Source organism: Homo sapiens, chromosome 16 (genome assembly GCF_000001405.40).
Source record: "Homo sapiens chromosome 16, GRCh38.p14 Primary Assembly".
NCBI lineage: Eukaryota > Metazoa > Chordata > Mammalia > Primates > Hominidae > Homo > Homo sapiens.
The window spans coordinates 88,789,473-88,801,712 of record NC_000016.10 but is presented as its reverse complement, the minus strand read 5'-3'; the positions used below and the strand labels follow the sequence as shown (position 1 = coordinate 88,801,712).

Here is a 12,240-nt window from a genome sequence, read left to right as displayed (position 1 = left end):
ACGTGCTTTTTTTTTTTTTTTTTTTGATCACCCAGGCTGGAGTGAAGTAGCTTAGCCTCCACTCCTGGGCTAAAGGAATCCCCCTGCCTTGGCCTCCCAAGTAGCTGGGGCTACAGGCGTGAGCCACCACGCGTGGCTAAATGTTTGTTTTTTGTTTTTGTTTTTTTGTAGAGACGGCATCTCACCATGTTACCCAGGCTGGTCTCGAACTCCTGGACTGAAGCGATCTCCCTGCCTCGGCCTCCCAAGTAGCTGGGGCTACAGGCGTGAGCCACCACACCTGGCCACACCACACATTAAACAAACAATGTATTTCTTCAGTCAAAACTAGTTGCAGGTTGGGGCAGGAACTGACTTGGAAGGAGCACGAGGCAATTTTCTAGGGTGATAGAAATGGTCTAGATCATGACAGGTTTGGGTCACATAAGTGTATGAATTTATCAAAATCTGAGGGTAGCTTAAGATTTGTGTATTTTATGGTATGTAAATTTATTTAAAAGCCAAATTATCAGCAAATATCGAACTCTAGTCAATGACATGCATGCAGAAGTGTTTAGGAATAACAGATGTCTGACACTTTAAAATGCATCAAATAAGATGGACAGGCTGGGCGCAGTGACTCACACCTGTAATCCCAGCACTTTGCGAGGCCGAGGCGGGTGGATCATCTGAGGTCAGGAGTTCGAGACCAGCCTGGCCAACATGGTAAAACCCCATCTCTACCAAAAATACAAAAATTAGCTGGGTGTGGTGGCGGGCATCTGTAATCCCAGCTAGTCGGGAGGCTGAGGCAGGAGAATCGCTTGAACCCGGGAGGTGGAGGTTGTAATGAACTGAGATCCTGCCACTGCACTGCAGCCTGGTGACAGCGAGACTCCATCTCAACAACAACAACAAAAAGAACAGTGTAGAACATTAAGATAGAGTCTGAGGGGTAAATGAGATTCAACTTCTCTGGATGTTTGAATTTTTTGAAAATAGAACGTCTTGAAAAGGCGTATTTCGCACTGTGGGTTTTGGACAAAAGAGTTTGAAGGCCCCTGGGACCAGACAACCTCCAGCAGGGCAGTTAGCTCATAAGGCACCTTTGTGAAAAACGGCTTGACAAGTGGAGCCACGGGGATCTCAGCCCCCGCTGCTCCCTTGGCCAGGAACCCTTGTGCAGGCCTTAGCTGGCACAGCTCTGCGTGGCGACCCTTGCTTGGGAGTCTCTTCAGCTGTAATATTCCATTCTGTTCTAATCAAGATGGGGATCCTGGCTTTTCTCAAAGGGGGCAGAAAGTGATCTGGGAGTCATAGTGGAACACAAACCAAATAGAAGTCGGCTACGTATGAAAGAGGGAAAATGTAAAATGTTAGAGCTGTAATGGGAGCATGAATTACAGACGCATCCTCTCCTTAGGACCATCTGCAGTAAGGGGACCTTGCAAATCCTTGACATCGTAACCGTTTGTCAGGTAGGAGGGAGCTGTCACCTCCCCTGGTGACGTGGCGGCTCCCCACTCTGTCTCCCATTGAGAATAAGGAAACAGCTGGTCTCAGAGAGGCAGCGTTAGCGGCACTTAACCACAAGCAACTGCTCCACATCTGGCTGCTGGTGCAACCGTTTGGCCCGGTCCCTGCCTTCCATAGATAAGCTGATGGACAGGATGCTGCCAGAAGCGTCTCCAAGGCCTTCAAAATGCCAAGGCGACTCCAGCATTTCTTCTCTCCTGCCACCTGCCCACGCACCAGCCGGAACCACAGGGTACTGCGCTGGACTCCTGGAGCCATGCCAGGGGCCAAGGTTAGGCCCATGGTCATGAGATGCTCCCAGAGACCACCTCAGGATGGGGGCTTCCTTCCTGACTTCAGCACAGCAGCACCTGTCACCACTCACCTCAAGAGGTGGCTCCCGAGCCTCCTGGGAGGGAAGGGGCCATGGCAGTTGCTGTCATCGTGGCCAGCCCTGGGGCTCCAGCCGGGGGCAGAAGCAGGCTCTGGAATGAGCTTGGACCCAGAAGTACAGTGCACAGGGGCTGGTAAGAGTGCAGGCATGAATGTAGCTTGGGTCTGGCTCTGTGTGGGGCAAGGGGCCAGGCTTCAGAAGTGTTGGGAGCTGGGAGGCTGAGGGTGGGGCCGGTGTTCACAACTCACAACCAACAGGTTGGAAGGGGGCACCCAGTGCCTTGGGGGCCATGCCCGGCCTGAGTGCAATGGCCCATGTCAATTATGGTGGCTCAGGATCCAGCCATGGCAACTGCTCAGTATTTTCAATGTCACCCCTGGAGAGTAGGCCATTCAGGATGACTTCTGCCTTGGAGGGGTCCTTGGAAAATTGCCTTGTTCACCTGCAGTGATGGAGTTCATTCAGCTGCACATTTGTGCTGTATAGCCCTGCCTCCCAGTCACAACTGATTGGGCTAGAGGTGCACAGCTGAGCCAATCAGATCCTGTCCTGGGACTGGAGCCTCCAGTAGGAGTAAGCTATTGGCTGCCTTTCATTGTGGTGTGAAGACAGAGGCAGCCAGACACAGCTGCTAGCCCAGATGGCTTTGAAGAGTTTCCAGTGTGGTCTCTTGAGAGGCCTGCCAGCCCTCCAGGCTGCCCTAGATTTTAATGAAGTAGCCTATTCCTGCCCATATATTTGCCTCTTTTGCCTGAAGTGCCTCTGAGTGGGTTTCTAGCTCTTCTAACCCAAGATGCTGTAATTAAAGCATGGTCACAAGGGTTGATCTATATGAGGCTGCATTAGTAGAAATATAGAGTCTAGTGTAAGGGAGGTGAAGGCCCTTTTCTGCTCTGTTCCATCCAGGCTCCCCCAGACAGGCCATGTTGGCTTATGGGTATGGGGTGCTAAGAGGACTTAGCCTGCTCAAGTGCCTTCAGGAGAGAGAGCCATCATGGCCAAGGTGCCAGAACCCCTGTCTGTGGATATTTACCCTGGAGAAACCTGGAGACCAGGGTCTGTGCCTCCATCCATTTGATCAGCTGGTATTCATGAGTGCCTGCCAAGAGCCTGGCCTCTGCGGGGTTCAAGCGATTCTCCCGCCTCAGCCTCCCGAGTAGCTGGGATTATAGGCACCTGCCACCACGCCCGGCTAATTTTTGTATTTTTAGTAGAGACAGGGTTTTGCCATGTTGGCCAGCCTCGTCTCAAACTCCTGACCTCAGGTGATCCACCCGCCGCGGCCTCCCAAAGTGCTGGGATTACAGGTGTGAGTCACCATGCCCAGCCAAAATTCATTAATGAGATATTTCACACTATTTTTCTCATCACCATCGTAATTATCACTGCCATCTTCCTCATGATCACCCGTATCACCATCACCACCTTCAACATCATCATCACCAGGACCACCATTACCACCCTCACCATCACCATCATCACCGTCATCACCACCATCATCACCATCACCACCATCATTACCATCACCATTATCATCACCACCACCTTCACCATCATCACCACCATCCTCACCATCACCACCATCATCATCATCACCATCCTCACCATCACCATCACCATCATCACAATTGTGCCATCTCACCATTCTCACAACCATCACCATCATGACCACCTTCATTATCATCACCGTGACCACCATTATCACCACCATCACCATCAGCACCATCATCAGTGACATAATCTCTAAGTATAATCACCAATTCTAAACACCGGTCTTTGAAATCTAGTGTATATTTTACACTTACAGCACATCTCAGTTTCAAGGAAGCTCCATTTTCATGGAATTATATGATCCTTTTTTTTTTTTTTAGACAGAGTTTTGCTCTTGTCGCCCAGGCTGGAGTGCAATGGCGCGGTCTCGGCTTGCTGCAACCTCTGCCTCCTGGGTTCAAGTGATTCTCCTGCCTCAGCCTCCCGAGTAGCTGGGATTACAGCGCCCACCCTCACGCCCGGCTAATTTTTGTATTTTTAGTAGAGACAGGTTTTCACCATGTTGGCCAGGCTGGTCATGAACTCTTGACCTCAGGTGATCTGCCCACTTCCGCTTCCCAAAGTGCTGGGATTACAGGCATGAGCCACCGTGCCTGGCCTATTTGATCTTTGATGTAGATTTTGTAAAATTCACATCTTGAAAAGTGGATTCACACTCCCAACTTGTTCCAAGTATGCTAAAAAGTTTTTCAATAATCAAATAGTGTTTAAAAGTAATTAAAGTAGAATTAGGCCGGGTACAGTGGCTCATGCCTGTAATTCCAGCACTTTGGGAGGCCAAGATGGGCGGATCACCTGAGGTCAGGAGTTCAAGACCATCCTGGCCAACATGGTAAAACCCCGTCTCTACTAAAAATACAAAAATTACCCGGGCCTGGTGGCGCGTGCCTGTAATCCCAGCTACTCGGGAGGCTGAAGTAGTAGAATCACTTGAACCCCGGAGGCGGAGCTTGCAGTAAGCCGAGATCACGCCATTGCACTCCAGCCTGGGCGACAGAGCAAGCCTCCGTCTCAAAAAAAAAAAAAAAAAAAGTTATTAACGGCTGGGTATGGTGGCTCATGCCTGTAATCCCAGCACTTTGGGAGGTCAAGGTGGGAGGATCACTTGAGTCCAGGTGTAAAAACTGCAGTGAGCTATGATGGTGCCACTGTGCTCCAGCCTAGGACAGAGACACAGCGAGACCCTGTCTCAAAAGAAAAAAAGGCACTTTAGGGAGAATGCTGGAACTGTACAAATAACAAAAAATAACGCGTGGGTGGTGCCCTCAGCTTACCCTCTAGAGCTGCAGTGCTTACCCCAGGAGGAAGGCCCAGCTGCTTCCCAGCATGTGCAAAGCAAACACGCACCCAGGGGTTCCTTCTTCTCCACCCACAGGTGAGGGTGGGCATCTGCCCTGCCTCCAACAGGCACCCCTAGGTGGTCTACCTTTGAGGGGCTTCATAGATGTTCCTTGATTTCACAACTTTGAAGGCCCTACTACAAACCAGGGGGAGCCGATGCCCCCAAAAGTCCAGGGTGAATAAGATGTGGCCCTGCACTGAGGGCTCCTCGCCTGGCAGACATGGAGGTTAGCTTAGTGCTCAAGGACTCAGGCTGGAGGAAGATGATCATTCATTCAAGAACATTAATTGAGCACCTACTATGCTCCAGGCACTGTGCTGGGAGCCTGGGGAGTCATGGTGAGCTTCCAGCGGGGCAGCACACCTTAAACAGGCTGGTTTACGCCTCTCCAGAGAACTGTGAACTCAGCTTCCCCGGGGACTGAAGCTGCAGGGAGGCAGCTGTCAGAGCCTGGGAGAGAGGCTGTTCCTGGCAGGAGCTGGGCTAGGCTGGTTCCCGGGTTTGGGCAGTGAGGAGGAGGTGCAGATAGGAAAGGCTGTTTCAGGGGTTTCAGCCTCAGGGAACATTTGGTCTTCCCCTGAGGGAAATGGAGTCTTACACTCAGGACAGGCAAGACCAGGTCTATTTATTATTATTATTTTTTACCCAGGAAGGTCTCACTCTGTTTGTCACCCAGGCTGGAGTGCAATCATAGTTCACCCTCGTAGTGCTGGGCTTAAGTGATCCTCCTGCCTCAGCCTCCCAAGTAGCTGGGACTACATGCAAGGGCCACCATGCCCAGCTAATTTTATTTTATTTTATTTTATTTATTTTGAGATGGATCTCTCTGTCTCCCAGGCTGGAGCGCAGTGACACAATCTAGGTTCACTGAAACTTACACCTCCTAGGATCAAGCAATTCTCATAACTCAGCCTCCAAAGAAGCTGGGATTACAGGCGTGCGCCACCACGTTCTACTAGTTGAGACGGGGTTTCGTCATGTTGGCCAGGCTGGTCTGGAACTCCTGACTTCAGATGATCCTCCCACCTTGGCTTCCTAAAGTGCTGGGATTACAGGTGTGAGCCACCACACGTGGCCAAATTTTTATAATTTTTTGTAGAGATAGGGTCTCACTATGTTGCCCATGTTGGTCTTGAACTCTTGGGCTCAAGAGATCCTCCCACCTTGGCCTCCCAAAATGCTGGGACTATCGGCATGAGCCACCATGCCTGGACTTTTAAAACATTTTTTTGTAGAGACATGGTCTCCCTATGTTTCCCAGGCTGGTCTCAAATGCCTGGCCTCAAGTGATCCTCCTGCCTCAGCCTCCCAAGGTGCTGGGATTATGGGCATGAGCCCATAGTCTGCACCCTGCAAGACTAGGTTTCTTGTTTTAACATTTCTGTGTCTGAGGAGGAGCCTGAATGAGCTGGGCAACCTGGGCAAAGGCCCATGGTGTTCAGATGAGGGAGTAAATGGACTCCAGATGAGGGCACATGCCGGCTTCTCTAGGGACCTTCACATGTGGTGTGGGCCCATGACCTGGTCCCACTTAGGAGACCATAGTGTCTGCCCAGGAAGCTGTCATAAGGGTTCATGGAGCATGCCTGCAGCGCGCCTGCCTCATAGGCAGCCCTCAAGATACAGGAAGCCAGGCCAGGCGCAGTGGCTCACACCTGTAATCCCAACACTTTGGGAGGCCAAAGCAGGCAGATCCCTGAGGTCAGGAGTCCGAGACCAATCTAGCCAACATGATGAAACCCCATCTTTACTAAAAATACAAAAAAATTAGCCGGGTATAGTGGCACATGCCTGTAATTCCAGCTACTCAGGAGGCTGAGGCATGAGAATCGCTTGAACCTGGGAGGTGGAGGTTGCAGTGAGCCAAGATCATGCCACTGCACTCCAGCCTGGGTGACAGAGCAAGACTTCCTCTTAAAAAAAAAAAGAAACAGGAAGCCACTGATGGTTAGCAATGGTGGCAGAGGGCCAGGTACGGTGGCCCACCCCTGTAATCCCAACAAGAAGGCCAGGCATGGTGGCTCACGCCTGTAATCCCAGCAGTTTGGGAGGCTGAGGCAGGTGGATTGCTTGAGGCTAGGAGTTCGAGACCAGCCTGGCCAACATGGCAAAAACATGTCTCTACTAAAAATACAAAAAATAGCTGGGCATGGTGGTGCACACCTGTAATCCCAGCTACTCAGGAGGCTGAAGGGGGAGGATGGCTTGAACCTGGGAGGTGGAGGCTGTACTGAACTGAGATTATGCTACTGTGTTCCAGAGTAAAACTGTGTCTCAAAAAAAAAAAAAAAAGAATTAGCCAGGAAAGGCGGCATGCACCTATAGTCCCAGCTACTTGGGAGGCTGAGGTGGGAGGACTGCTTGAGCACAGGAGGCTGAGGCTGCAGTGAATGGTGATTGTGCCACTGCACTCCAGCCTGGGCAACAAAGCAAGACCCTGCCTATTAAAAAAAAAAAAAAAAAAAAAAAAAGCTCGCGGGGTTGGGCTGGGCACAGCGGCTCCTGCCTATAATCCCAGCACTTTGGGAGGCCGAGGCAGGTAGATTGCTTGAGGCCAGGAGTTCAAGACCAGCCTGGCCAACACAGCGAAACCCTGTCTCTACTAAAAATACAAAAATTAGCCGGGTGTGGGGGCAGGTGCCTCCCAGCTACTCAGGAGGCTGAGGCAGGAGAATTGCTTGAACCTGGGAGGTGGAGGTTGCAGTGAGCCAAGATAGCACCACTGCACTCCAGCTTGGGCAATGGAGTGAGACTCCATCTCAAAAAACAATAAAATAAAATAAAATATAACCTTACCTCCAGATAATACAACGGAAGCTCCAGGTGATACAATCCTAGCCCCAGGTGATAGAACTCACGCCCTGGGGCAATGACTCCTTGTAAAGGTCAATTCAAGTAGCAATGGATGGGAATATAGAGGGCGGAGGGAATCGGTGGGAATATAAGGAGGCCTGGGCTGCTTGCTTGCTTTCTTTAATGGGACCAGGAGACTTCCCAGGTAAAACCCCCTATGGACTGTCACGGCTTTACACCCCGGGTTCGAGGCTTGCCGGTGGGAGACGTTCTGCCTGGCGACGGTGTAGCCCTGCTGCAGGGGTGGAGTGTTCCCCGGGCTGAGCTCCGCCCCAGTAACTGCCAGCTTGGGGCCCCCGGGCTGAGCTCCGCCCCAGTAACTGCCAGCTTGGGGCCCCCGGGCTGAGCTCCGCCCCAGTAACTGCCAGCTTGGGGCCGAGGTCTGCAGGTCAGGCCGGGAAGCTCAAAGGAACCTGAGAGGGAGGTTCCCAGTGGACATGAGGGTGGTTGGCCCATGCGGCGAACATGTCTATGGGGAGAGCTGCCCTCTGGGGGTGTGGGGGGCCTTATCTCTGTCCAGGGGCCCCCGCTGTGGGGTCTGCGCTGTCCTCAGACCAGCTGCTGTTGGGAGTGCCCCGGAAACACACGCTTTCTTGATGGGGGCTCTCTCAACCCCGAATGCCCGGAAGGCAGAGCCCGAGGCAGAGCCTTCCTGCTGGGGTGGGCAACCCCAGAGAGGCGTGAGCGGCGGGGAGAGTGAGGCAGGACGGACAGGAGCCCATGGACGGCGCGTCCTGGAGCTGGCCATGTCAACGTGCAGCCGACCACACAGTCACACACGAGGGTCCTCCAGGCAGCGGGTGGAACACACCTCATGCTGTGCAGGGGAGGGGGAGAAGAGTTTCTGCACCAGCTCTCATTGACGGAGGGTCAGCTGTGCTCCCCTCTGGATGGCGCCCATGGGCGTGGGTGGGTCCTGGGCATCTCGGCCTCCCTGGCAACAAAGAAGCTCTGAGCAAAAGGCAGGGGCAGGAGTGGGCAGGGGAAGGGCTCGGCCAGGGCCCATGTGACGTCACTGCCTGTGGACACGCTGAGCTGTGGCCCGGTGGCTGTGGTGAGTGGTCAGTCATCTGCAGTGGCCACTGACCTCATGGTCACTCGTCAGGCATGGAGTGAACCTCCTCATGGCCCTGGGGATACAGTCACCTGAGACATAGCTCCAGGGAGCCCCAGGGCCACAGATGGTTACATCCCGAGGACATGCTAGGGGAGCCTCAAGGGGTCGAAGCAGAGTGAGGTGAGCTCTGGGCAGTCAGGAAGGGCTCAGAGGCAGGGACTGCTGGAAGGTGGAGGAGGGATTTGGCAGGTGGGGGACAGCATTCCAAGGGGAGTCGGGACTGAGGACAATGGCCCTGGGGGATTCCATGGCCCTGTGTGGTTGGTGCAGTGGGGGGACTGAGCAGTGAGGAGGGGGTATGGCTGCTGTGTTGAGCCGAGAGGAGGGGACTGAAGACAGAAGGTCCCTGTCCTGCTCCCTTGGGCCTGAATGCCCCCAGACCTCCTTTCTCCCTTTGTTGCTCCCAACCAGAGCCCCAGGGCATGAGAGGACGCCACCCAGCCACCCACGCAGGGCTCTGCGCCTCACTGTGACCTCCATCTGTGGGATCAGCACGGGGCCAGAGTCACCAAATGCACCAAATGCTCCAAATGCACGTGGGAGCCTCAGAGTGAGGAAAGGACTGTCTGTGAAAACCTCCTCTGTCCTGGGTACTGCCTGAAAGCCTGGACTCCGAGGGCCACACATGACCTGCTCCACCCTCAAGCAGCCCGGAGGGTCTGGACCCAGAAGTGTGGGCAGGACATGGCAGGCGGCAGGGGGCCGGTCGCTCCCCTTTCAGCTATGACCAGGCCCCCAGGAAAGCCAGCCACTGGGTGGGCCAGAAGTGGGGGTGGGTGAGTCAGCAGGGCAGAGGCGCCTGCGGGTACTGAGCTGGGGGCCAGGCTGGTTCCAGGACTTCCAGCTCTTCACCCGGGTGATGCTCAGCTCATCCCCACTGCTGCCCGGAGCAGTCAGCAATTCTGTACCCTCCCAAGCAGGGCCCGAGCAGCCACCGCTGCTCCTCAGAGACCCTACTGGGGGCCGAGCTTGGAGGGCGGGGCGGATCCCGGTTCCAGCCCACTGTGCCTGTCTCTGAAGCCCCGAGCACTGCATTTACTCCACGAGACCACGCGGGGCCACAAGACCACATGGGTGGCTGCAGGAGAGCACGTGGTTCATCTTCACTCGGGGCAGCATCTGCGCTCCAGCCTGGGCCCTTGGTCTCCAGGTTAGTGTTGGCCGCGTCCTTCCCATCAGCGCATCCAGTTGGGCTCTGGTTTTACTGGCGAGGTGGGGATGGTGAGAGCCAGGGACGGATCGGCGTCTTCATCCCAGCTTCCTCGCCACAGCTTAGGGGCCTCAGTGCCCCCTTTGCTGCTGGTAGGGGTTTGTCACAGGGTTCCTGGCCACATTGCGGGGTCCTAATGCCAACCTTCTAACTCTCAGCTGGCCGCCGAGGCAAGCAGGCAGGTTCCAGGCCAGACTTCAAGCCACAGGTGCCCAGGCAGGTCCATTGCTGACGTCGGCAAGGTAGCACCCTGAGCATGGATGGAGCCGAATGCCAGCTTCAGGCAGGCAGGTGGCAGGGGCCCGCAGGTCGGCTCCCGGAGAGCAGGTGGGTGGGAGAGGAGGATGTTTACTGAGGCCAGCCATGGGGGATGAGAGTGAGGCTTCCCCTCCCCTCCCCTCCCCTCCCTCCCCTCCCCTCCCCTCCCTCCCCTCCCTTCCCCTCTCCTTCCTTCCCCTCCCCTCCCCTCCCCTCCCCTCCCCTCTCCTCCCCTCCCCTCTCCTCCCCTCCCCTCTCTTCCCCTCCCCTCTCCTCCCCTCTCTTCCCCTCCCCTCCCCTCTCTTCCCCTCCATTCTCCTCCTCTCCCCTCCCCTCCCCTCTTCTCCCCTCCCCGTGGGATATCATGGCATATCACGGCTGGTACGTTAGTTGTCTGCGAAGTACCTGAAGTTTGTGTCCTCCCAAAAGGCAGGAGAGCACATGCTGTTTCCCAGGTGTGTTCCACGCGGGTGTCTCACTCAACCCTCCTCTGAGCAGCAGCAGGCAGGACCCTTGCTTTACAGGCGAGGAGGGGGTTGAGGCTCCTGGGGCTCTGTAGCTTATCCAAGACCTCAAGGCAGTGAGAGGCATGGCTTGGGCACACGCTGCCCAGCTTCAGAGCTTCCCTGAGGACCAGGCCTGGCTGCCACAGAGGCAGGCAGTGATGGCAGTGACCGCAGGCTTCCTCCCTCGGCTGGGGCTGCGAAAGAGCGGGGGCGGGGGCGGGGAATCAGATGCACGGGCAGTGGGAACTTGTCTGCTGCCTGTGAAGAAACGGCCTTTTGCCTGTTTGGTCTGCAGAGCCCCCAGCTCGGTGCCCCGGCTGGGATCACCCCTTAGAAGAACCCAGGACCCTCGGCAGGAACAGGTGGGAGTTTGTGCCCTGCTGATCAGTTCCTGTTCTTGGTTTCCAGGAAAGGGAGGCTGGGGAACCCAATGGGAATTCACTCAGGGAAATAAAACAAGAAGTTCCCGAATCTCACAGTCCCTGACAAGGAGTCAGGAAAGCAGTATGTGGAAGACACAGAGACTGTGGTTGCCTCTGGGGAGGGATCCTGGCTGCGAGGGAGGCATAGAGTCCACTGCTTGAAAATCGTTTCTTGTTTGTTTTTGTTTTTGAGATGGAGTTTCACTCTTGTTACCCAGGCTGGAGTGCAATGGCACGATCTCGACTCACTGCAACCTCCGCCTCCTGGGTTCAAGCAATTCTCCTGCCTCAGCCTCCCGAGTAGCTGGGATTACAGGCATGCGCCACTACGCCCAGCTAATTTTGTAGTTTTATTTGAGATGAGGTTTTGCCATGTTGGCCAGGCTGGTCTCGAACTCGCCACCTCAGGTGATCCTCCCACCTCGGCCTCCCAAAGTGCTGGGATTACAGGCACGAGCCACTGCACCCAGCCTGAAAATTGTTTTAACCACGTACATATTTCTTAAAATTGTCTATCATGGTCAAAGTACATAATATAAATGTACCTTTTAAATCATTTTTAAGTGTCCAATTTGGAGGCATTAAGCACATTTACAATGTTGTGTCAACACTACTATTTCCAGAACCTTTTTATCACCCCAAAGAGAAACTCTGCCACTGTTAAACAACAGCTGCCCACTTCCCCCTCTGGCCTGGTAACCACCCTCTGCTGTCTGTCTCCATAGACATTTCACGTACACAGAGCCACATGGTGTCTTCCTTCTGTGCCTGGCTCCCTTCCCTCCACGTCCCCCAGCCCCGTGCTGGCGCGGTGGCTCACACCTGTGATCCCAGCACCTTGGGAGGCCAAGGCAGGAGGATCGCTTGAGCCTGGGAGTTTGAGACCAGCGTGGGCAATATAGCAAGACCCCATCTCTATGGGAAAAAAAATTGGCTGGGTGTGGCAGTGCATGCCTGTAGTTCCAGTTACTTGGGAGGCTGAGGTGGGAGGCTTCCTTGAGCCTGAGGTCCAGGTTACAGGGAGCCATGATTGCACCACTGCAATCTAGCCTGGTAGCCTGGGTGACAGAGCGGGACCCTGTCTCACACACAC

General features: G+C 54.5%; 1 annotated feature.

Annotated features, from left to right (window-relative positions):
- Positions 10,849-11,379: an enhancer, noted in NCBI's record as "H3K4me1 hESC enhancer chr16:88856742-88857272 (GRCh37/hg19 assembly coordinates)". NCBI's record gives its function as "activates a minimal SCP1, AML or CMV promoter by ChIP-STARR-seq in naive H9 embryonic stem cells {active_cell/tissue: H9 hESC(naive)}" and the evidence as "EXISTENCE:reporter gene assay evidence [ECO:0000049][PMID:30033119]".